At 38.4% G+C, this 25,078-nt stretch overlaps 1 protein-coding gene and 2 pseudogenes across 4 annotated transcripts in view; 1 reads left to right on the top strand and 2 right to left on the bottom strand.

Annotated features, from left to right (window-relative positions):
* The window catches only part of MYH10 (myosin heavy chain 10), a 156,514-nt gene that overhangs the window by 55,040 nt on the left and 76,396 nt on the right, over positions 1-25,078 (top strand). For all 4 annotated transcript variants that reach the window (NM_001375266.1, NM_005964.5, NM_001256095.2 and 1 more), the window contains 3 exons: positions 5,874-5,966; positions 21,668-21,731; positions 23,542-23,640. In NM_001375266.1, the coding sequence (NP_001362195.1) occupies positions 5,874-5,966; positions 21,668-21,731; positions 23,542-23,640 (256 nt within the window). The remainder of the gene's footprint in view (positions 1-5,873; positions 5,967-21,667; positions 21,732-23,541; positions 23,641-25,078) is intronic.
* Positions 14,041-14,483, bottom strand: RPS26P53 (ribosomal protein S26 pseudogene 53; annotated as a pseudogene).
* On the bottom strand, positions 14,724-15,215 carry PPIAP52 (peptidylprolyl isomerase A pseudogene 52; annotated as a pseudogene).

The raw sequence follows: 25,078 nt of genomic DNA, 5'->3' as shown, positions 1-25,078 counted from the left end.
ATCGAGTTATGGAAATGATCTGTTAATATAAAGAAATAATCATAAATATCTAAGGAATTGTCATAGACACTGAGATTTTAAGATACCTTACTTAAGATTCTTAAGAGATTGCCAGCCACCCAAGCTGTACTGTACCTATGAAGGCCTATGATGTCCTTTTGCTCCTTTAGCTGCAGAATAGACCAGTGATACAAATGAAGAGGGTAAATGAAATAGTCATTATCCTGTAGGGTATTTAAAAGCTTCTTTGCCAATTAAAGAAGGAAAATCTGGACCAGAAACCAGTTTTTCTTTATGCTTTAGAGGTACTTGCTAAATGTCCTTTTAATTTGTACTTGTGTCGCTATTGAAATAATGTTAAGCAATTAATACACAGATTTAGGTTTTCCAAATTCCCTGTGGAACACATAAATCATTGTTGTTAACATTTTGTTTCGATGTCATTTTAAACTACAGAGTGGATCCCTGTTGTATGTGAGTAGCATGCCTACCCCCACCTAGATTTTACTTTGAGTCAAATCAATCCCTGGGAAGCAGGTTCTCCCAAAGAAGGCAGCAGCTTCTTTGGGCCATGCTTCCCGGTCATTGCCGATTTGCATGTCGTACTGCATGTGTCCACTGTGCACACAATCTTCAGTGCTGCTTTTCCCAAGTTGATTTTAATCGTAGTTAAGCAGTAGCTATGCTGATGTTTTTAGAAATATTAGAAGAATACTCGTTCTCAATTTTTCTTCCCCAACACAACTGAGGAACGTGAAATACTTAACAGCACCGTACGGAATGGTCACACCGTGGAAGGGTACCATTCAAGAAGTTACTTCTCCCCCTGCTGGGTGTCCCTGTCTGCGACTTCTTCACCCAACTTGAATGATTGCCTTAAAGTTATAGTTACAGTGTGAAAAGTCTGTACTTTCCAAGGTTACAGTTTCTTTTGGTTGATTTGATACCACTGGTTTGTGATTTTACATTGAACTTTATAAGCAAAAGTTGAATCCCGAGGAACCATGAGTGTACATCCAGCATTTTATCACTAAACGGTAGTATGAATTGTAAACCCAAAGGGGAGGGCATTTCTAGGCTCCTGATTTTGTCAGTCCTTTATATATTTGCTTGTTTATCTACTCATTCTTTTTTTGAAACAATTTAAATGAGATATAATTCACATACCATTCAATGTACCCATTGGAAGTGTACAATTTAGTGTTTTTAGTATATTCACTTTATGCAATTATTATCATAATCAATTTTAGAACATTTTCCTCACCCCAAAAGAAACTCCATACCCATTAGCAGTCACCTGCCATTTCCCCTCAGCCCCTGGCAAGCACTAATCTACTTTCTGTCTCTATGTATTTGCGTATTCTAGACATTTCGTGTGAATGGAATCATATAATATGTGGTCCTCCCTGACGGTTCTTTCTTTTAGCATAATATATTCAAGGTTCATCCAGATTCTAGCACATATAAGTACTTCATTCCTTTTTATGGCCAAATAATATTCCATAATATTAAATATGTGTCACGTTCTGTTTATCCATTCATCAGTGAATGGATATGGATTTTTTTCTACTTTTTGGCCATTGTAATTAATGCTGCTGTGAACACTCATGTACAAGTTATGGTGAGAACATATGTTTTCATTTTTCTTAGGTAGCTACCTAGAGGTAAAATTGCTGGGTCATACGGTAATTCTGTTAAACATTTTTAAAGAGACTGCACCATTTGACATTGCCACCAGGAACATGTGAGAGTTCCAGTTTCTCCATATCCTCATTGGCACTTGGCATTGTCTGTGTTTTTATTAAAGCCATCCTAGTGAGCGGTGTGGTCAGTCTTTTATGTTTACCTTTTAAATTTCATCTTCATTTTCAAAATATGAACAAATATAAGCAAATCAGTTTTCAAAATTAAAGTGACAATACTTAACTTGAAATAAACATTTATCTATGAACTTTTGGTGTACTTTTTATAACAAAATTAAAGGTCTTATTTGGCTATATCCCCTTAGTATCCACCAGCCGACTGCAAGTACAGCTTCTGTGTGCCCTCTTTCCTCAAGAGAGGTTGCTCTTAGAGACCCTCAAAGTCTAGCACAGAGTTCACAAAGCCTCAACATAGTGCAATTTCAGAGCAGATTTGAAAATAATCGATTAAGTTCTTAAACTTGACCGTCCCCTACAAATGATACCTTCAAGCCAGCCCACTTGTCTCCCTGTGTTTCCAGTCATCTTCAGGATGACTTTGTATCTTTCTCCAACCTGGTTTAAACTGTGCTGAACCAAGACAGAAAGGTGATAGAGAGCCTGCCAGTTGAGATTAGAGTCTGGTTTTCAACATGTGGTTGGTTGCTGCTGCCTGCTTTTAACCTTCCTGCAGCTCTGCCCTGCCAGGCCTGCAAGGTACAGCCGGATCTCAGCCTGAGTCCCCTTGCGGGCTGAACTGGACTTTTGAAAGAGGTATATATTTTTAACCATTTCGAACTCATGCTATATCATATAGCAAGTGTATATTATATACTATGTAATAAACCCAGGAGTGTAATTTTCACTATGACTGGTAAACTTTGAAAGCAGTATATAACTCTAAATATTTAGAACTTTAAAAATCATTTCAATAGCTAAGGCTGCTTGTTTTCTACATTCCAAAATAACATTATAGAATAGAAACAAGGGACATTGCCCATCCAATTCTAGAGGAAAAGTAAATAGTCACTGCCCCCTGATGGTTTACAAATGCCTTCATAATTTGGTTGAGATCTGTTAGCACCATTTATCTAATTATGAAATTGTTCAACACAGAAATTATCTCATGTTAATTTCTATATGTTATGATAATTGGCTTTGTACCAGGTTTTTGGGGATTCATTTGGGGAGTTTTTGAGATCGTTACTCAGTCTCACCAATGTCCACAAATCCATTAGTAGGAGTGATACCATGACACTATCAATGTAGTGGGACCAGCAACAGGGACGGAGGAGTGCCTGAGTCCACCATTACCATGGTGACTCTGAGGACCCATAAATCTTCTTGCTGCCTTTGGCTCACCACCATCCCCTCCCCAAATAGTTCTAGAATTCTGGGTTCCAACCTTTTGGCTTCCCTGGGCCACACTGGAAGAAGAAAAATTGTCCTGAGCTATGCATAAAATACACTAACGATAGCTGATGAGCTATTTAAGAAAAAAAGGTTTGTGCATAATTTTCATGATATCCACCATCACAGATAAGCAAAAAATGTCCTCACATTTAAAGAGTTGGACACCCGTGGAACCTCTGATTATACATTCATTCAGCAAAGCATTTGCCAAGCATCATTTTGACCTGATACTGACCGAGTTAGGCACAGGGGATACAACCAGGTTACTTGAAGCCAACACAAGAAGAATAGAATCAGTGGATCTCTCTCTCTCTCTCTCTCTCTCTCTCACTCACACACACACACACACACACACACACACAGAGAGGAAAAGAAAAGAACCAATAGAAAATTTGACTCAAATAATCCTTTTAGCCATATCTAAGTAATATTAAAGTAAGATATGCATTACTGGTTTTACCTCCAAGTTAGGAAAACTCTTTAAAGATGGACTATCAAAGTCTTTTTCTTATGATTTGGTAGGATGGTGTGTGATTTTAAGGAATCCAAAGTCTAGCAGTAGATATTTAGTATTAAGGTAATGTCCCACTTACTAGAATGCCAGTGTTTTTCCAAGTTTCCACATTCTCATCACATAGATTGAATTAGGTTTAAAAAAAAAAAGGCTTTTAGAGACCCAAACAGTTAATGCAAAGTGAGTATACCAAGGGCTTTGCAAGATATTGGTCATAGGAATGCTGATGGAACTGACTGCTGACCCCGGGGGGGTGGAGGAAGGCAGTCTATCACCGAATAATGACTGACATTTTTAATTTTTATTTTTTATTTTTTGGAGATGAGTCTCTCGCTCTTTCTCCCAGGCTGGAGTGCAGTGGTGCGATCTCTGCTCATTGCAACCTCTGCCTCCTCGGTTCAAGCGATTCTCCTGCCTCAGGCACCCGCCACCACACCCGGCTAATTTTTCTGTATTTTTAGTAGAGACAGGTTTCACTGTGTTAGCCAGGATGGTCTCGATCTCCTGACTTCATGATCCGCCTGCCTTGGCCTCGCAAAGTTTTGGGATTACAGGCATAAGCCACCGCGCCTGGCCCCTGACTGGCATTTTTAACAATGGCTCTCAGTCATCAAAGTTGTTCAGGATACCATGCTTAAGACAGTTTGGCAGCATGTAATGGTTTAGAAAAATTTACAGCACGAGACCATCCTGGCTAACATGGTGAAACCCCGTCTCTACTAAAAATACAAAAAATTAGCCGGGCATGGTGGCGGGTGCCTGTAGTCCCAGCTACTCGGGAGGCTGAGGCAGGAGAATGGCATGAACCCAGGAGACGGAGTTTGCAGTGAGCCGAGATCGCGCCACTGCACTCCAGCCTGGGCGACAGAGTGAGTCTCCGTCTCAAAAAAAAAAAAACAAAAACTTTACAGGAAAAATAGTCTGGTAAGGGTTTTGAAGTGAGGAAAACAGAAGATTTGTTGTACAGGGAGGAAACTGTCTAATGCCAAGAAAATAAACCGATGCCATGTAATGACATCCACGTAGCTTGAGGTTCTTGACAAGACTGGTTCCTGACTGGCTTCAGTTGAACACGGTTGTAGATTGTAGTTAAGACCTATGAACATGCGGATAGTCCAGATCATGCTGTAATGGATGTAGGCAGAGCAGGTCCCCTTCCTGTGTAATGTGCCTGAGGAACACTTCCCCACCCTTTCAGCTGAGTGACAGTCCACACCAGGGCGGCGTGACAGAACTGTACGGATGACATATATTTGTTCTTTTTTTTGAATTTGATGGTGATGGAGTGCATCACATACCAAATGCCACTAATTTAAAAGCCTCATGTGAGGTTCTTTATATTCATCTTTTTTGCTTAGAGTATCGCATTTCCTAGCAGCTTTTATTTAGTTTTTCTTTAGGTCTAAAATACTGTGGGTATTTTAAAATATAGGGGTAAGATTTATGTTTGGAAAAAGCAGGTTTATTTAAGTCATAAAATATAATTCTGAAATTACATTCCAGAAACACAGCATCACTTCTGGTGCTTTTCATGGCCAGAAATGGCATCATGCTTTCTCATACAGCTTTCTATTGTGTTTCATGATTAAAGTACGTATTAATATATTTCCACCTTTTGTTTGTAAAATCTGTTTTATAGCCTAATTTACATATAAGTAAAGACACCAACTAAAGCAGACATTTTACCGAATCCTCTCTACTTAGCCTTTTAAATCTGAGCAAGTTAGCAGCATCAACGTCTTTACCATCCTCTGAAAGTGGAGGTGAAGACATTGCCCTGTCTATATGATAGAGATAGTATATGAAACTCCTTGGAAAACTGGAAAGTGCTACATCAATACAGTGGTAACTGTTAAATTAACTGCCTTAAAGTTTTCAAATAAGGCAGAGTTAAAATAAACAAGTATTAATATGTTCTTAATTGAAGTGTCGTGCTAAATTTCATTTCATGAAAGCCAGTCTGTTTTATTTTCAAAATTCTCTGCCTGATTTACGTGCCCCATGCTTAAGTTGATCTTCTCTGTTCAGCGTGACATTTTTTTCTCCTTGTGACCACTTTATAGATGCTAATTTTTTCCTTTAGTGGAGTCCATTATCATAACCAGGATTAAGAAGCCAACAAAAGTTGCTGGATGGCAGACAGAATGAAAGAACTGAGGAAAAGATGCAGTTTCTTTTTTAGAAATTTTTCCCCTGATGACTTGAGTAAAGACATTAGATTAACGTACATCTGCTTTTATTTGTGTGTGTGTAATGTCTTTTAGGGGGAACTTGAACGGCAGCTTTTGCAAGCAAATCCAATTCTGGAATCATTTGGAAATGCGAAGACTGTGAAAAATGATAACTCATCTCGTTTTGTAAGTTTCAAAGCACCAGAAGCTTTTAATTCCTTAGATTTCTAGTTAAATGTTTACTGTGATTAAGCAAATGAATTACTTTTCTTCCTAGATTTTAAGAAGCTAATAGATGTAGTTCTGTAGACATAATACAAGCTCACATGTAATTTTAAATTTTCTAGTAGTCACATTTGAAAAGAAAAAAGGTAATGTGTAAGTAACTTTCATCATTTTATCATACAGAAATGTATAACTCTGTCTTATTTTATGGATATGTAATTTAACCTCTCTGAGCTTATTTATCTTTGATTGGGCATGATAATAACACCTGTCAGTGGAATCGGAGTAGAGAATAAATGGTGTGCACGCTGAGCACTTAGCCCGGCACTATGCATAGTAAACATTCAACGCATTAGATGTGGTAAACTGACCTTTTCCTACCTTGCTATTTTCTGTGGGATTTGGACTTTGGAATAATTTGTCACTACTATGACTTCTCTTTAATTTTTTTTTTTTTTTGAGACAGGGTCTTGCTCTGTCACCCAGCCTGGAGTGCAGTGGCACAGTCATAGCTCACTGCAGCCACCAACTCCTGGTCTCAAGGCATCCTCCTTCCTCAGTCTCCCAAGGAGCCGGGACTACAGGCTCACGTTACTTCACCAGGCTAATTTAAAAGAGTAACTTTTTTTTTTTTAGAGACTAGGGTCTCACTATGTTGTCCAGTACTTTGGGAGGCTGAGGCAAGAGGATCGCTGGAAGCCTCAGCCTCCCAAAGTACTGGGATTACAGGAATGAGCCACCACACCCAGCCTAAAAATTCTCCTTAGCTATTCAACTTGAAAGCTTTACTTTCCTCCTCAGTTTGACTAGCTGTACCTGTTCACCTGAGAATGTTATCCTAAGTGATGGCCAGGTCTCTGTTACGTCAGAGACACTGCCCCTTTCCACCCCAGCTGCTCACCTTCAACACTGTCACAGCAAATCATCTCTAAACCCATATTCAACACAACGGACATTCCTCCAGTAAGTCTTTTGCCCTGGATTATGGTCATCAAGTTTCAGAAACCCCTTCCACTGTTAGATTGAAGAAGGACTTCATTGTTCAATTATTTCCACTTAAGTTGTTCAAATTAATTCTTCCCTTTTTTTTCTCCCTGCTCTGAAGTATTGGTAAAAGTCAAGAACGCCAGAGTAAGAGACCTCAGTTCTAGCAGTTCATTGATGGATAATTTGGGGGATCTAGTGTCGTCGTGACACGCTTTTTAAAATTGAGATAACATCATGGTCTGCACATTAATTTACCGATGGTGTGGTTGCTATGATTAGTGGAAGCGACCAGATTCAGGATCACAGAGGACCCAGCAAACACAAGGGCAACCATAAAGCCCTCTGGATTAGTTCACTAGGGCTGCGATATAAAAGTACCACAGACTGGGAGCAGCATAAACAATAGAAATGTACTTTTCCACAATTCTGGAGGCTAGATGTCTGAAGCAAGGTGTTGGCAGGATTGGTTTCTTCTGAGGCCTCTCATAACTGAACCCAAGTTCGGCTGCGTGCCACTTGAAAGCCACCCACGAGAGACGAGAGTTGGTGGGAGGAAAAGCAGGTTTATCTGGAGAGCCAGCAAACGAAGATGATGGTGGACTAGCGTCCCAGAGGACCCTCTGAAGTCAGAACACATTTTAGGCTGTTTTTATGTTAAGGCAGGGGGAAGGGGAGAGGGTTGGGATGAAGAGGTAACTGACGACCACAGACATCTGGGCGCCGGCAAGGGTCCAAGGAGGTTGGGAATATCCTTGTCCTTAGTCAAGTCACAGTGCTCTCATCAATCTTTAACGAAACATAGTTGTTCACACACTTCTCCTTTAATCTCAGAGTTAGTTTTAAAAACTACCTGATTGCTGTTTTTGCATATTATCTCAGTGCTCTAAAATTATCCTTGTCCATGTGCAGGAATGGGTAAAGGCCCCTTAAACAAAAATGGAGTTGGTTATGTTAGTTCTCTTGCTGATTCACTGTGCACTCTTTCTTTGGCTTATAGATGGTTGTATTCTCCCTATGTCTTCACGTGGCCTTCCCTCTGTGTGTGTCTGTGTCCTAATCTCTTCTTATGAGGACACCAATTATATTGAAGTAGGGTGCACCCTAATGACCCTTTTTTAATGTAATGACTTCTTTAAAGACCCTCTTCCTAATTACAGTTCCATCATGAGGTCCTGGGGGTTAGGACTTCAACACAGGAATTTGTGCAGGGACGCATTTCAGCCCATAGCACCTTCAGAGATAGTTTCAGTGCAAGACGCTTTCCAAGTTATGTAAGAAATAGGGATGTATTTTCTTGGAATATTGTTTATTCCCAGGAAGATAAAATTTGAAGATTCACTTAATCCAAGTTCATTTAGTAATTAATTTAGCTTTTTATGTGCAAAGTGGGTTAACAAATGTGCCTGTGTCAGTAGGAGGCATGCCTGTGACTTGACTCGTGGGTTTAGAAACGATCTGAGGAAACTGCATTCCTTCAGACTTTCCGTCACTCTCCTGGATCATCCCCATTGAGCCTGAGCCACAACTAAATCTGAAATTTTCCTACTGAAATGCCCTGTGTTTAGTGGCTATATCACAGGAAAGAAGGAACAGTGAGCTGCCAGCTTTGGTATGTGAATCTCCATCAAGATCTTCAAGGACTTCTTTGTGGAAAATTGTTTATCTTACCACAGAAATCAAGTTACTAATCTATTCTGTTTCCCCCACCCCCAGCCCTCAAACCATACCCTAAATTCAAGAGAGACAGTTTTGGTGCTCAGTGGCCCCGCTTTTTCCTGGAAAAGATAAATTGCTACTAAGCCGTCATTTGTGTCCTTGGGTAAAGAATGTAGTGGTTCTGTTACGAAGTGTAAGGATTTATCCCCCTGCCAGGGTGTGTTTCAACTCATTATTTTAGTGTTTGGACAGATATAATTCTATATTAGTTATCAGTTGCTACGTAACAAATGATCCTAAAACCTGGTGGCTTCAGGCATCGATTATCTCATGGTTTCTGTGTGTCAGAAAGTCAGTAGCAGCTTAGCTGGGTGACTCTGGCCCAGGGTCTCTTAGGAGGTCGTCACTGAGATGTTGGCTACAGCTGTAGTCATCTGAAGGCCTGACTGAGGTGGGAGGATCTCCTTCAAATCTTCCTCAGGTAGCTCTTGGTGGGAGGTCCCTATCCTACATGGCTCTTGGCTGGAGGCCTCAGTTCCTGGCTTTGGAGGCAGCCTCTCCATAGGGCTCCTTGAATGTTGCCATGACATGGCAGCCAGCTTCTCCCAGAGCAAGTGATCCAAGAGAAAGACAGAAGTTACACACTCTGCCTTGGAAATCACATGCCTTCTTCTATTGTCTTCTATTGGTTATACAAACCAACCCTGATACTGTGTGGGAGGGAACTGTGAATACCAGAGGTGGGGATCATTGAGGTGGTCTTGGCTATCATGGCTACTATGAATCCTTACAGTGATTTCCATCATTGATGTATGTAGGGTTTTAACCTGTAACTGGAGTGACTCTAGGTCAGTGGTTCTTAATTGGAGGTTCCCCAAGGGACGTTGGCGGTGTCTGGAGACATCTTTCTTTGTTTAACTGGGAGATTGGGTAGTGGTGTGCCACTGGCATCTAGTTGGTAGAGGCCAAGGATGCTGCTAAATACCATCCAATGCATGGCACAGTCCCCACCGCTTAGAATTATTGAGCCCAAAATACCAGTTATGCTAAGATCGAGAAACCCTGCTCTAGATCGTTCCTTCAAATTATAGTCTAAATTAAGGTAATTATTTTCTGAAATTTATTTGCAAAGTAATACATGAGTCTATTTAATGCTTGTTATGTATACATCCTATTCCAAAGGTTGACAATCAAGTCTGATAGAAACCTATTTTACATTCTGCTGGTAGGAAGAATTAGATTGTTTTCTAGCCACCTGGAAGCAGCACACAGGAAAGAAGCAGGAATTAGCCATTGAATCCAAATGTTCAACAAATGCTATTTCAGCTGAAGTGCCACCTTCCAAAGTGCCTGCACTACTATATAATAAGTGCATTCTAATATAGTAAAAGCTGATTTGTTTTTAGTAGAAAAAAGATTTTTTATTAGGGCATTGTTCTTAGACGTAGCTTTCAATTCGACCAAGAAACAGAGATATCTTTAAATTGTTTACTTTGGGCTTTAATTCTTAGAAAGTCAACTTTTATTGATACGTATTTTTTTTAGTAATAGTTTATTGCTATCTACTGTTATCATAAGGTGTTACCTACACAGTACTAAAACAAGTAGTTGATCTCAGTAGCTCCATTAAAAATAATTAGGTCCATTGATTAAATAATGTTCAGTTAAAATTCCCCTTTAATATTTATCTATTGGTGTTGGTTCTTGGGGTTTGAAAGAAACTGTTGTAGACTCATTTTTAAATTCAATTCTGTGTAATTTTGATGTTTGATTTGTTATTTAGTTCTTTTAATTATTAAGCACCTATTATTTGCCAGCCACTGTGCAGCTTAATTGATATCTCCAAATGGATGTCAATAGATTCTTGAAGTTTAACATATTCCAAATGAAAGTTTTTCCTTTCCTTTCAAAATTTGTTCCTTTATGTCTTACATCAATAGATGGTATTATGAAATCACCCAGTTGGTTAAACTTAAAATAAAAGCAATAGCAAAACCTAGAAAGACAAAATACCTAGGAATCAGCCTTTTTCTCATGGCCCACGTCCAGGCCAACAGTGAATCCTGTTGGTTAAACATCTAGAAGGTGTTTCAGATCTGTCCACATTTCTTCTCCTAACTAGCTAGTTAGTCTAAAACCATATCTGAGGATATTTCTTCTATTATTCTCTATCACAGTATCCTGTTTATTTCCCTCATGGCACCTATCACAAGCTGTAACTAATTACTTTGTGTATTTATTATCTTTCCTAGTAGAATGTCTAAGATCTTTGTCAGTAGGGACTTTGTATCTTTGGTTCCTAGCATAGTGCCCCACAGGTATATTTATGGATTTTATGGAATTCATTTACTGAAAATGTGGCAGACACTACAAAGTGCCATACACTCTTCCAGGCCCTGGGAATATACCAGTGGTCAAAACTAAGGTTCCCTAGCCCTGTAGAGCACACCTTCATATTGGTGTTAACTTTAATATGTTTTCAACGGCATGTCATGATGTTGTTGAGCTCGGGGAAGGTAGTGCATATGCTAGATCCTCTGAGAATATGCATGCCCCCATTTTAGAAGCAAGGGTAGAGAACATGAGGGAGGCAGTTGCTCCGTGGGCAGGCCAGGCCTTGGGTTGAGATCAATGTCATACCAAGAGTAGTACGATGTTAAAAAATGAGTTGTGTATACAGTGAAATTTCATGCAGTCATATTTATAAGCTACATGCTTACAGTGAAAATATTTGAGGCTATAAACTCCATAAGCTTTAGAATCCATTTGGTTCCATTTCTTTGATCTGATATAGACGACTAATTTCCTGAAGAATATCTTTTCTTTCAAAGATACTAGCATATGGTTTATATTAAAGGGATTCTTTATTTAGGAGAGCATTACCCTTAAGAAAATAATCGTTCACAGTTAGTCCAGTTCTCTGTTTATGGAGAAGTAAAATGCGTTCCAGATGGAGGAGATTTATGTAAAAAGAATCTCTCATAATGAAACTTTAAAAACAGGGACTTCAATTTCAAAATGATTGTTTGGATCAGCAGGTACATCTTCCCTCACAGAGTTTTAGTTAGAATCACTTTCTCTATTTCCACAAATCCTTCTTTTCTTTCCTTTTATTTTCTTTCTCTCTCTCTTTTTTTTTTTTTTTTCCAAGTTGACTTAAGCCAGGCTGGCAATTTCCAACTATTATGTACCTCTTGGTAGATAAGTATCCTCCAGCAGTTAAAGCTAGGTAAGGGCTCTAGGCATCCTCCTTACAGTTTGGCGACCAGGTTATAATGAAAGCACGTCCGGATTCTGCACCCTCATATCTATTTATCAAAAGGCAGTTGCTGAAAACAGTTTTGTAAGTTGCATGCAGCCCAGCTCTGTTTAATTTCTCTAACCAAACGTTTACCTGAAAGATTTACTGAGGCAAATGTGACAGTATCAGTGACAGAATATGGTCTGCACCAGGCAACCAGCATCTTCCAGATCACTGGCTGCACACAGCCATTTAGTATCAAGCTCTAGGAGCACCCCCAACAATACAGCCTCCTGGACTTGCTGGAGTCTCAACACTTGTTCCCTTGACCCCGGATTGGGGAGGGTCTATATATATCTTTCTTTGTTTTTATTTATGTATTTATCTTTTTTTAAGGCTCTATTTGAAGTTAATATATATCTCTTTCTAATCAGTCCATGGCTTAATGCCACTCATGTTACCCTAGTGATTTCTAATATCCATTATACTAAGTAATGAGGCCACTTAGTGCATGTGAAAACTCATTTTACTAACAACAAAGCTTCTGGTTTGGTTTGGAGATTAAGATAGCTAAAGCATTTAAGGTGGCCATCTGGCCTTTGGATTAAGTGCTAGCTCATTACTCCTAGAATGGATTTTCTCATTTAGGGCAAATAGCTAACACACATGCATAGCACCCTATCTGTGCTGATGTGTTTTAATGCATACTGCAGATCATGTAATAACTTTAGATGCCAAATTAAGAAGGGGGAAAATATGTTCAGAATATGAAACAAACCTGCATTGCCCCTAAATTAAGTTGCTAACTAATAACTAATCTAGTTTTAGTTACTATAGATACATTATAATCACCCCAGAAAAGATTCTAGAAATCGATGTCAATTCAGAACAAACAAAATTTTTGAAACTAATTAAGATAATTTTCATTTTATTTTCTTCAGGGTATGAAAATATCAAATATCCGGGTTTCCCTATTGCACATTTTGAGTGAAATCCTTAACAAGTTATATTTGATTATATATGAGAGAATTCTAGTTGTCTTTGCTGTTGAGAGCTCTCACAGTACACGTGTAATTTCACTTGTTTCTGGATTGGTATACAATAAGCGTTATCAAAATGTGTAGCTGTAATTAATACACAAGGTACTTGTCACGTTTTGGGGGTTTTCCATGCTTTTGTTTTTACTGGTGAAGTTCCGATTGAATATTCTAAGTACCATAATCTGACCTTTATGCAAATCAATTATGGAGTGGGCATTTTCGGCACAGATTTCTTCACATAATGTTTAAAGATAGCGTTCCCACTTAAAAGTAAAACTCGTATTTTCCAATTTAGTCTAGATGTGTGTTTCAATAAAAATGTTAATTCTGAAAGTATTTATTATAGATGTGAGGAGAAAGCTTTTTTAACTTTTAACAGATATTCTCTCCCCTCGGCCTGCCGCCAAGGAAGAAAGAAAAGTCACCTTTGCTTATCTGGCCAAGTGGCCAACACTCAAGTGACGTCAGGTCCCATGGCCTGCATCTTACCTGATTTGCCAGCGTATCCAACATGAAGGGGAATAATCTAAGTCCTAGATCACTTGGGGATATTCAGTAAAGTTTTTCATTTTTGCTTCTGAAATTTCACTTTGTCAGGTTGTCAAAGTGCTTGGCTATGTCTTGTAAAATATCTGAGTATGAGTGTCATTTAGCTAGAAAGTTGATAATTTTCAACTTCATAAGGTTTTTGTTTTGTTAAAGTGTTTTTAAAATAGAATACATGTTAGTGCTTTGGCTTATAACTGAGATTTATTGGTTACCAAATATATTTTCAGAAATACCGTTCTCTTTTGCCTCCTTCCACACCACAGGCCCCTGCAGCCCTGTCTCCTTCATCATTGTTCTCCATGCATCTCTTCTTTCACTGCTCTTTGCTTGGCCCTTTGCATCTAGCCGAAAGATATTTCACTGGCACTCACTATCATGGCTAGTGCCACTATGGACCCTAGGTGTGAAAAGGACACCAAGCTAGGGAACTGATGAGGAATAGAGTGTTGCATGTTGGTGACTTTGCTTATTTATCTAAGTAAGTGACCACATGTCTGAATTATTTTGGAACATTTCTCTACAGCTCACCTGTTCAGAGGCCCCAAATCTTTTTTTTTTTTTTTTAAGTACAATTTCCATTTTATTTTTCTCCAGAGAATAGTCTGTCTTCAGTCTTTAAGAACTCAGCTCCTTACATGGGCTTTGGTGGGAGACATGGGGCAGCACCCGCAGGTCTAAATCGGGGTGGGGGTGTTCGGTCCTTGCGGGCTTCACGAGATCGATTCCTGACTACTTTGCTGTGAATTGCACAACTCACACGGTAATGTAGCTTCACACACAGCTTGGGAAGCACATAGGCATCGAAGACACTTGCTTCAGAATGCCCCTGACTGCTGCGGCCTCCACTGTGTTTCGAATGACGAATTTCTTAATGGCCTTGTCCTTGGGCATGCATCGGGCACAGTTAGTGCAGCGAATAGCCTGCACGTGGCCGCGGCCCTTTTCAGCACGACCTTTGTTCCTTCTTTTCTTTGTCATCTTGGAGGCACGGACCGGAGAGGAGAGGCCCCAAATCTTAATTTTCTCCCATTTCTCCTTTGTTTGTTTTTGTTACTGAGTTTTTATTTTATAATCCTAAACTTAACTACAATCCAGCTTGATGTCGAGGGGAATAAGGAAACCAAAGAACTGCAGTGAGACCACAAAGATTACAGGATATTGTGAGCAAGTGGGATGGAGGGATGCTCTCCTGAGCTACAGAAAGAATGATTTGGTGGTTAAGATCAAACACAAGCAGATTGATTAGAGTTGTCCGCAGTTGGCAGTGGTGATCTTCTTGCCAGTCTCACCATTCCCGGACCCAGAGCACTCCATGGCTTCCATGATATTCACTCCCTCTTCTCACTTTGCCAAAGACCTTGTGCTTGCCATCCAGCCACTCAGTCTTGGCCACACAGGTGAAAAACTGGGAACCATTTGTGTCGGGCCAGCATTTGCCATGGACAAGATGCCAGGACCTGTGTGCTTCAGGATGAAGTTCTCATCATCAAATTTCTCCTGGTAGATGGACTGGCATTATTATGGTGTGTGAAGTCAGCACTCTGGCAGATAAAATAAACCCTGGAATAATTCTGTGAAAGCAGGAACCCTTATAACCAAATCCTTTTCCTCCAGTGCTCAGTGCACGAAAGTTTTCCACTGTTTTTGGAACTTTGTCGGCAAACAGCTCGAAGGAGCTGCATGGGCCAAAGGAGTTACCATCAACAATGATGTCAAAAGAACACAGTGGCGTTGACCATGGCTAGAGGCAGGTGGCTTCAGGTGGCAGCGATGACTACAAAGCCCCATTTCTCCTTTGAACCTAACTTCCTTTCCTATTTTAATGTCCCGTGAAGGTAGGGAAAAATAAATTCACTAAATATACGGTAAATAACATTTAAGTTTAGATTTTACAGTTGCTAGAATTCAAAGTTATCTGTGTATTAATGTTATCATATTGCCCAAATAAAGAATTAGTTTTGTTTGATGAATTTCAAACTTCTAATTTATTTGAGGTGGTAAAGAAAAAAAAAGGAAATAGTATTCGGAGTTGAAAGCTTAAACCGCATGTTGATATATATATACTTAATAAAGAAGTTAAACATACATGTTGGTGAAAGCTAAAAGTTTATATTACTGGATATAAAGAATTTTTTTTTAGTGAAATGTTTTCTTAAAATAAGAACTAGGTGATACCATATGATTTTGATGAACCTTTCCGCAGAATTAAAATGAGAAGTTTGAGAACGCATTTGCCCAGGCAGTCACGTTGGCCGTGTGTCCTTAGCAGCTCTGTGGTAATAACATTGCCTTTTGACTACTGTCTCTTAAAATAGCAATATTTTTATTAACTCAATGAGGTAGTGTATAGATAATACAGCTGTTTAAAATTATTTGTGGAGAATTTTAACCATCAGTATAACATCAGGACCCAATTTCAGTTTCTTTTTTGAACAGTTCTAACTATTCATAGGATTGATAGCTTTTTAACTTAAATCTTTCTTAGGGGTCTTCCAAAAAACAAAGACAAAATATACTTATTTTTAAAATAGAATGAAGTTCATTCTCTCTTGTAATTACATATGGGTCCATTGAAGCATTTTGTAAATCTAAGATACATTATGGAGTATTAGTGATCTTATTTGTTTCTGTGTCTTGAAATAGTTTGCTGTTTTGTCATCTTAGAAATTGATTCATTATTAACTCATTTATTCTCAACTATGCTAAAAAAAAGAATAAAATAATAAGAATAATGGGATTGCCTAGAAGGATGCTACAGTAATAACTATTGCTTCATCTTTTAATTTATTTATTATATCACCCCAAATATTGCATTGTCTTTCAAGTAGGTATGAAAGAAAACTAGAGAAACCATCTTTGTAGGTTATTTTTAGCTTTTAGTGAACATAGTTGAAAAATCAGAAGTTTTCAATTTCTAGTCATTATGTCAGTGAGAAGGAAATTGACAGAAAAACATTTCACAAACATTGGATGAACCGGAAGATGAATACAAAGAGACAGATAGCATGGTAGACTGTAAAGATGATGATGAAATCAATTATATAAAGAGAGTCTCAGATTGAGTCTCCAGGTGATAGCCTAGAATTTTCTCAAACTTAAGAATTATATATATTTCTAAGGGCAAAAAAGAAACATGACATTAGCATCCAGGTGGTCATTCTGTAGGAAGATTTTCCTTAGTATTTTGCAATAAGATTAAAGAATACTGTTATTTCATCTCTTTGCTAAAATAACAGTATTCTTTAATCTTGTATGATGTTTCTGTACCAATATGTACCTGGATAAGTTTCATAAGTGGACAAATGCAGAAAGCAGGTGTGTATGTGAAAATTGTTAGAAGGAAATAGATAATATAAAATGAGAGAAGTCATTGGGTTGACCATTCTAATTGATGCTTACAAATCTAAAGATGAAAATGTTTTATAATTACAGAGCAAAAAAGATCTTTCTCTTGTCAACAAAATATGAGCTATCAGAATTTTGTATATTCAACTATTGCATTCTGACAATGCAAAGGCAATAATAAGTAAGAGCCTACTGGCAGAAGAGAGAAGGGTGCCTACAGTTGCTATCTCGAATAGCTATTAACCCAGAATGTTGTATCTCTTCAACATAGTAGATGTTACAACTTAGAAGTTGAAATTAGATTGCAGTGTGCCAAGGACTCCTACTCTTTGTAGTGTTTTTGTTTTTGTTTTGCTTTTTTTTGTTTGTTTTTTTCAAGTGAACTTAAGCACAGCACCTATCTTTGAAATACCATTTAGCTTGAAGCAGCTAATGTATGTGGTAAACACTAAGATTGGTAGGCTCGGCTGGCACTGTTTCTGTGAAGCCTTCTCTCCTCCTTTCTCTATGTTCCCATAGCACCTCTGTGCTATGTGTGGAAGTGCACAGACCACATTGTTCTTCAGATGTTGAAAAAGCACAGCCTCAGTGTTCATCTTAAGTTTGGGGAGCATTAGGTCAGCATCTCTTCATGCCAATAATTATATTATTTGTGTAGAGTGCTTATTTGTTTAGCCTATCTCAAAGAAGGGAAAATTTTTCTCCTATTAAAACAAAAATCCAAACAAAACTTTCTCTCCACACCATAAAACAAAACTAACTAAACAAATTGTCAGTTTTATTATGCGACTCTTAATTAACAAGGTCTCTATAGAAGAAAAATACTAAATGCTCACCACTGATAGTCAAGCAGCCTCATAATGATGGATTTGCCTTGTGGTCTCCAGGGGAATTTAAATCATTACCTCAGTAAATTTGATGGCATAAAATCAGTATCTAGGCTAGAGGGCATTGCAGGTTTGGTGACTAACACCATCCTAACTTCTAAAGAAATCCTAAATTCATATCTTTTATTACATTGTCGACTTTCACTGTCACGTGTGTTAGACTCATGTCCAGAGTAATATTGTTTTTGCCATTTGTTTTGATAACTTATGTAGCATCAGTGGTTTTTTTGTTCATGACTTTGTAAGATGTAGCAAGAGCCTGTTTGTCACAAAATGCCTTTGCTTCTTACTCCAACTCCCTCTTGAACACTCCGTGGTTTAGTGGCACTGGGAGCTGGCCCTTCATGGAATGCACCTCTGTTGTGATGACGACATAGTGCCTGAGTATATCAAGCTCGTCAAGTATTTCTTAGTGCAAAGCCGTGCTGTCAGATAACGTGAAATAGAATAGGTACATTTTGGTGGGGCAGAGTTAGGACACTTGGAAAGAGAACCAGGAGTGCTAAAGGAGCTCCTTGACACACACCTGAGATAGAACTTAATCCTGCAAGCTGATCACAGTTTGTTCCTCCTCAAGCAGGAAGTCAGTGTATTCCCAGGGCTCTTCCCCCACACTCCCCACACACATTCCCTTTCACCTTGTTTGCTAGCTTGGTTTGGGTTTTTTTTAATAGGAAAATGGGGTGAGTTCTTAATGAATGCTCATAATATTGAGCAAAAATACAATGGATTATTCATTTTAGAAAGTGATTCCTCTTTTCTTTTTTTAAAATCAACTATTGAGGTGTAATTTGCATACAATAAAATATAGCTGAGGAACTTCTTTAGTAGGTAGCATCCCAAACTGACTACTCATTTTTTTAATATAAGGTAAATATTAATACACTGGAAAAAGTAACACTTTGGGAAGGGTGAGAAGGGCCCTAAAGTCGTAAGTAAAAGGATGGGCAAGCTGCCTGGCACCATAAGCAGAAGAGTGTAAATCTAACGGCTTTCACTTTAATAGGGAAGCATATTTAACTTAATATGTTTATAGTAAATACACAGAATTGAATTATTATTATGTTATAGAATGCTTCACAGATCCGAATGTCATCCTAGCACAGGGGCCATGCTCATCTGTCTAAAACAGATGTTGAGTTATATTTTTAAAATTGGCATTTATCTAGGAGTTCCTAAGATCTCTCCCTTGATTGTTTTTGAAATGTTGGCATACAATAAAATTCACCTTTTTCAGTGTACAGTTCAGTGCGTTTAGATAAATGTGTACGTAGTGTAGTGAGCACCATGCTCTAGAGGAAGAATGTTTCCCTTACTCCAGAAAGGTTTCTTTTGCCTTTGTGTTGTCAGTTCCCTCCTCCTGCCCCTGCCCCTGAAACCACTGACCTGTTTCTGTCCCTAGAGTTTTCAGTAACGTCTGGCATGTCAAGTACATGGAATCATATAGTATGTAGTGCTTTATGTCTAGTTTCTTTCACACAGCAGAATGCTTTTTAGATCCATCCACGTTGTTGGGTGTGTCCCTGGTTTATTCCTTGTCATCGCTCAGTAGTGTTCCATTTTGTGAATATACCACGATTTCTTCATCCATTCACCAGTTGGTGGACATTGGGTTGTTTCCAGTTTAGGGCTATTAAGAATAAAGTGGCTGGGGACATTCATGTACAAGTCCATGTGGATGCATGCATTCCTTTCTCGTGGGTGAAACCCCGCCCAGGAATGGAATTGCTGGGTCATAGAGTAATCTGTGTTTGACGCCGTGAGAAACTGGCAAACTGGCTGTACCGTTTTGCCTTCTCACCAGGGTTGTCTGATAGTTCTAGTTATTCTGTATCTTTGCTAGTCTTTCTTAAAATGTGTAGCCACTCTAGTGGGTATATAGTGGTGTCTCATCGTGGCTGTTTTTACTTAGATTTCCCTAATAACTAATGATAGTGTACATCTTTTCATATACTTGTTGGCCATTCACATATCTTTTGTGATGAAGTGTCTATTCAAATCACTTACCCTGTTTTCTTATTGGGTTGTTTGTCCTACTATTGAAATATAAGAGTTCTTTGTATATTCTGGCAACAAGCCTTTTATCACATGTGTTTCCCAAATATTATCTCCCAGTTTGTGGCTTCTCTTCATTTTCTTTGTGGTATCTTTTGAAGAATAAAAGTTTTAAATTTTGATGAAATCCATTTTACCAGTTTTTAATTTTATGGTTCATGCTTTTTGCATTCTGTCTAGGAAATCCTTGTCTAATTTAAGGTCATGAAGATTTTCTCCTGTTTGCTTTGAGAAGTTTTATAGTTTTAGCCCATGTATTTAGGTATGTGATCTGCTTTGAGTTAAGTTTTATATGTAGTGTAAGGTAAAAGTCTAGGTTCCTTTAATTTTGTTTTGTTTCATTTTGCATATTTTTCAAGCACCATTTATTGAAAAGACTGTCCTTCCTTTCCCTATTAAATTACCTTGACACATTTGTTGAAATGAATTAACTTACATACATGATCAATTCCTGGACTGTCTTCTGTTTCACTAATCTGTATCTCTGTCTTTACACCAATACCACACTGTCCTAGTAAATTTATAGCTTTTTGAAATCAAGTAGTGTGATTCCCCCAGCCCTGGTCTTCTTTCTCAGAATTGTTGTGATTAGTCTAAGTCCTTTTCGATTTCCCAATAAACTTGAGACAGCTTGTCAGTTTCCTCAAAGGAAGCCCTCCAATCCCTTGACTGTTTATATGATGAATAATACTGGTATGTTTACTAGTGTCAGTCCTTCTTAGCAGTCCTAGAATAAACCATTCTTGATCATTATGTTTGTTTTGCAAAATGTTTAACATGTTTAATTTTTTTTTCTTGTTTCTTTTTTTTTCTTTTTTGAGACAGAGTCTCACTCTGTCACCAGGCTGGAGTGCAGTGGTGTGATCTCGGCTCACTGCAACCTCCGCCTCCCGGGTTCAAGCGATTCTCCTTATATATATTTTTATAAGTAAGATATAACCATACCATATTTGCTTTTATTTTGCTTTGAGATGGAGTCTCGCTCTGTCACCCAGGCTGGAGTGCAGTGGCGCGATCTCAGTTCACTGCAACCTCCGCCTCCTGGGTTCAAGTGACTCTCTGGCCTCTGCCTCCCGAGTAGCTGGGATTACAGGCATGCGCCACCATGCCCAGCTAAATTTTTTTGTATTTTTAGTAGAGACGGGGTTTCACCGTATTGGCCGGGCTGGTCTTGAACTCCTGACCTCAGGAGGTCCACCTGCCTTGGCCTCCCAAAGTGCTGGGATTACAGGTGTGAGTCAGCACGCCCAGCTTGCTTTCCTTGTAATATCTTTATCAGATTGGGTACTCAGTGTTATGACAACTTTATAAAATGAATGATGAAATAATCACGATTTTCCTCTTTCCCTAAAACAGTTATGTATAGTAAAGAAATCAAATATTCCTTAGAAATTTGTAAAATTGTTTCATAAGACTAATCCAGCATTTTTAAAGAAATAATTCTGTTTCACTATTTTTTATTTTTATGGGTTAAGTTTTCGGGTTTTTTTTTTCTTGAATGGATTTCTATTTTTCTAGGAAATCATTTATACTATTCAGATTTTTAAATCTACCATTATAGTGCTGGATAGAGTGGTCCTTTAAAACTATTAAAATCTCTCATATTTCAGATTATTTAGAAGAGCTTTTAAAAACTTCTGAATGACTGGGATCTCACTACTTTCTTTTATTAATAATTTCTAATTTTATTATGTTATAGTCCAGGAAAATAGCCTATTCTGTTGCTACTTTTTTGAAATGTATCACAGCCTGTTTTCTTCTTTTTTCTTTTTGTTTGAGGCAATATATAAGATCCATTATTGTAACTAATTCATGGATACTTGTTGTCTTCTTAGTTTATTAGTGTTCATATCCAGTATGTACTTACTTATTTTCAATTTTCTCTTTTTAATTTATTTTCAGGGCAAATTTATTCGGATCAACTTTGATGTAACTGGCTATATCGTTGGGGCCAACATTGAAACATGTATCCTTTTTCATAAATGTATAATCCAAAATAAAGAAGGATTTAGTCTTCCTACAACCCCATGGCAACCGTCTGTGATATCACTCCCAAAATCCAGATGATAAAACTTGAGCCCAGAGATAGCATGCCTTGTTCAAATACTTTCGACTAGTGAATATTAACTCCAAGTTGTTTTGTTGTTTGTAAAACCAGGCCATAACTTATTCACATGGCTGGGGAAGTGGAGAGTGCCACAGTGTTTGTGTGATATAGGACATTCAGATGAATGCAGTTGCCCTCCCCCTATTGCTGTTAGCCCACTTTTTACCATCTACTTCTGATATTAGAAGGATGAGCATGTAATCATTGAAAACATCCTTATAAGATTACAGAGTTAAAGTAATCTCAATTAGTGTTAAGTAGAATAAAGCTGGAGAAAAAAATAAAATGTCAAGTACATAGAATAGTCCTAAGAAATGTCACCTGCATAGAATGGCCATAAGAAGGTTTATATATGTGTATGCACATATATACCCAGGTAAAACACATTTGAGTATAGATGTAATAAAATAGAAATGATTCTGAATGATAGTGTGCCAATTAGAAAGATAGATGACAGTTTTCGGGTACTTAATAGAATAATCTCCAGTGATAGAAATACATTATTTCTATCCTTCAAGGGACAGACCATGATTTTCTGGTTAAGAACAGTATTTTATGCCTCCAAATGGACTCACAGCCAGCAAAATCTGGAAATACTTGAAAATGACAGGAGAATGAATCTGCAGTTCAGCTTTCTTCATATAGGTGTGTCAGAGCATGATTCATATGAGTGTGTCTTTCACCAGACGTGGAGGATGTGTGGGATAGTCTGACTTAAAATTCAGGCTATCTGACACATACAGAATTAATTTACTTTGGTGGCCCCAGGGAAGGTTTACCTCAAGAGAGGCAAACATCTTCCAAAGCTGTGATACACGTTCTCTGAGATGCCGGTGTGACTGTCAACCCATAGGAACTCCGGGAGCATCAAGAACTGTGGATCTGAGCCCCAGATAAGATACACAGCTGGGTGTGCAGTGGTCTGAAATGCAGGAGCTGCTGGGGACTGTGCCACCTGCCCCCTGGGAAGCCCAGGCAGGGTGGGTAGCAGCAGGCGTAGGTACTGGCCGCACCGGTTCTTCAGAGCAGCAGAGGGAAGACTAGTGCTTAATCTCATCGTAGCTGTCAAGGCATATGGGAAAGTTACATGTGCTGCTGAGTGTGAAGGGCGAGTGCCTCTCATATAGGAGGCTTTCAATAGGGTAGCATTGTGGGCACTCTCATCATGCATTTTGGAGTCAAGCCAAGTTTTTGGTTCCTAACTGTACCACTTATTAACTATATTATTTTGACTAATTTCCTTATACCATGGCTTCCTTATTTATAAAATTGTGTTAATCTGGTATTATAGAGCTTCTCCTGCCTTAAACAACTGTACTTCATTTTCAATAGCTTCTTACAGTTCCTCGTATAGTGTGGTATTCTTTGAATGTAATCCAAGTTAGGGGAAGGATGGGGTAGAGTGGAGCTGAGTGAGGGAAGCACGTATAATCTTTAAGTTCCTTCCCAGACCAATGATTCTGGAAGATCAGTGAGGAACGTAAGTTGCACCTATTTTCTTTTTTCACAGATGGAAGACAGTCATTTAGAATAGTTCATTGCAGGATAGTTTATATAATAATCAGAGAAAGAAGATGTTTTATGATTTAAATTTACAGACGCTGAAAGAGGGCCTTTATTTATTTAAGAATTATATTAAATAATTTAATTCTTAACTGTCTTTGCTCAGACCTTCTGGAAAAGTCTCGTGCTGTTCGTCAAGCAAAAGATGAACGTACTTTTCATATCTTTTACCAGTTGTTATCTGGAGCAGGAGAACACCTAAAGTGTAAGTTACAAAGGTTTTTACTATTTTATATTCACTGGAATATCTCTTTTAATTTTTTTTTGAGAAAAAACAATTTTGGGAAACAGTTTTTTACACACAAAACACCAAATTTCCAGCTGGTTAAATCATGAAAATCAAAATGAAATTGAACTTCCATGCCATGGGGTAAGTACTTTATTTTAAGCGGCAGGTATTGTAGATAATATAATCTTTTGTACTTTTATTTCTTTTTTAAAATTTTTTAAATTAGAAGACAAATGATGCGTATTTTACAACTCTGTTTCAACGTTTTAAAATATGAAAGTAAGGGAAAAGAAATTTACCTAATGAAATTAAGTAGAATAAATATTTTTATTTCTAGATTTACAACTGAATATATGTTATTGCTTCCACTAGTACTAGAAAGAGCCTGTGGTGGATATTGATTGATTGAATGTCAGGGATCACAAGGACTAGAAGTTTAGAGTTGGGCAGGTACAAAGGAGAGCTCAGGTCTGGGTCAGAATTTTGCTGGGTTAGAAATATATTGAGGGAGAGGAGAAGATGTATAACTTTCCCATCTCTTCTGATTCTCAAATTTAGTGTTTCTGCATGATTATTATATATATTATCTAGATATCAAAGTAGACACATATACAGTAAAAGTTTTCTCATCTGGCATCCAGGCTTTTGCTAACCACAGACATCTGTGAAACCTTTGAACCCAAAAATTAATCAGAGAATGACCTGCAAGGGAAAAATCAAGCAACAAAAAAATAGAGTTATTGCCAAGGAGAGACTAAAAATTCAAGATGATGCAGTATGTAACACTGAAGAGAAGAAAATGCTCAGGCTTTCAGACTGGCAATAACTGCAATAGGAGTAAATTCTTTTTTTTTTTTTTTAAATTTATTATTTATTTATTTTTTATTGATAATTCTTGGGTGTTTCTCACAGAGGGGGACTTGGCAGGGTCATAGGACAATAGTGGAGGGAAGGTCAGCAGATAAACAAGTGAACAAAGGTCTCCGGTTTTCCTAGGCAGAGGACCCTGCGGCCTTCCGCAGTGTTTGTGTCCCTGGGTACTTGAGATTAGGGAGTGGTGATGACTCTTAAGGAGCATGCTGCCTTCAAGCATCTGTTTAACAAAGCACATCTTGCACCGCCCTTAATCCATTTAACCCTGAGTGGACACAGTACATGTTTCAGAGAGCACAGGGTTGGGGGTAAGGTCTCAGATCAACAGGATCCCAAGGCAGAAGAAGTTTTCTTAGTACAGAACAAAATGAAAAGTCTCCCATGTCTACTTCTTTCTACACAGACACGGCAACCATCCGATTTCTCAATCCCTTCCCCACCCCTCCCGCCTCTCCATTCCACAAAGCCGCCACTGTCATCCTGGCCCGCTCTCAATGAGCTGCTGGGCACACCTCCCAGACGGGGTGGTGGCCGGGCAGAG

Source organism: Homo sapiens, chromosome 17 (genome assembly GCF_000001405.40).
Source record: "Homo sapiens chromosome 17, GRCh38.p14 Primary Assembly".
Lineage (NCBI taxonomy): Eukaryota > Metazoa > Chordata > Mammalia > Primates > Hominidae > Homo > Homo sapiens.
The sequence above is the reverse complement of the archived record's forward strand: the minus strand, read 5'-3'. Positions and strand labels throughout refer to the sequence as shown.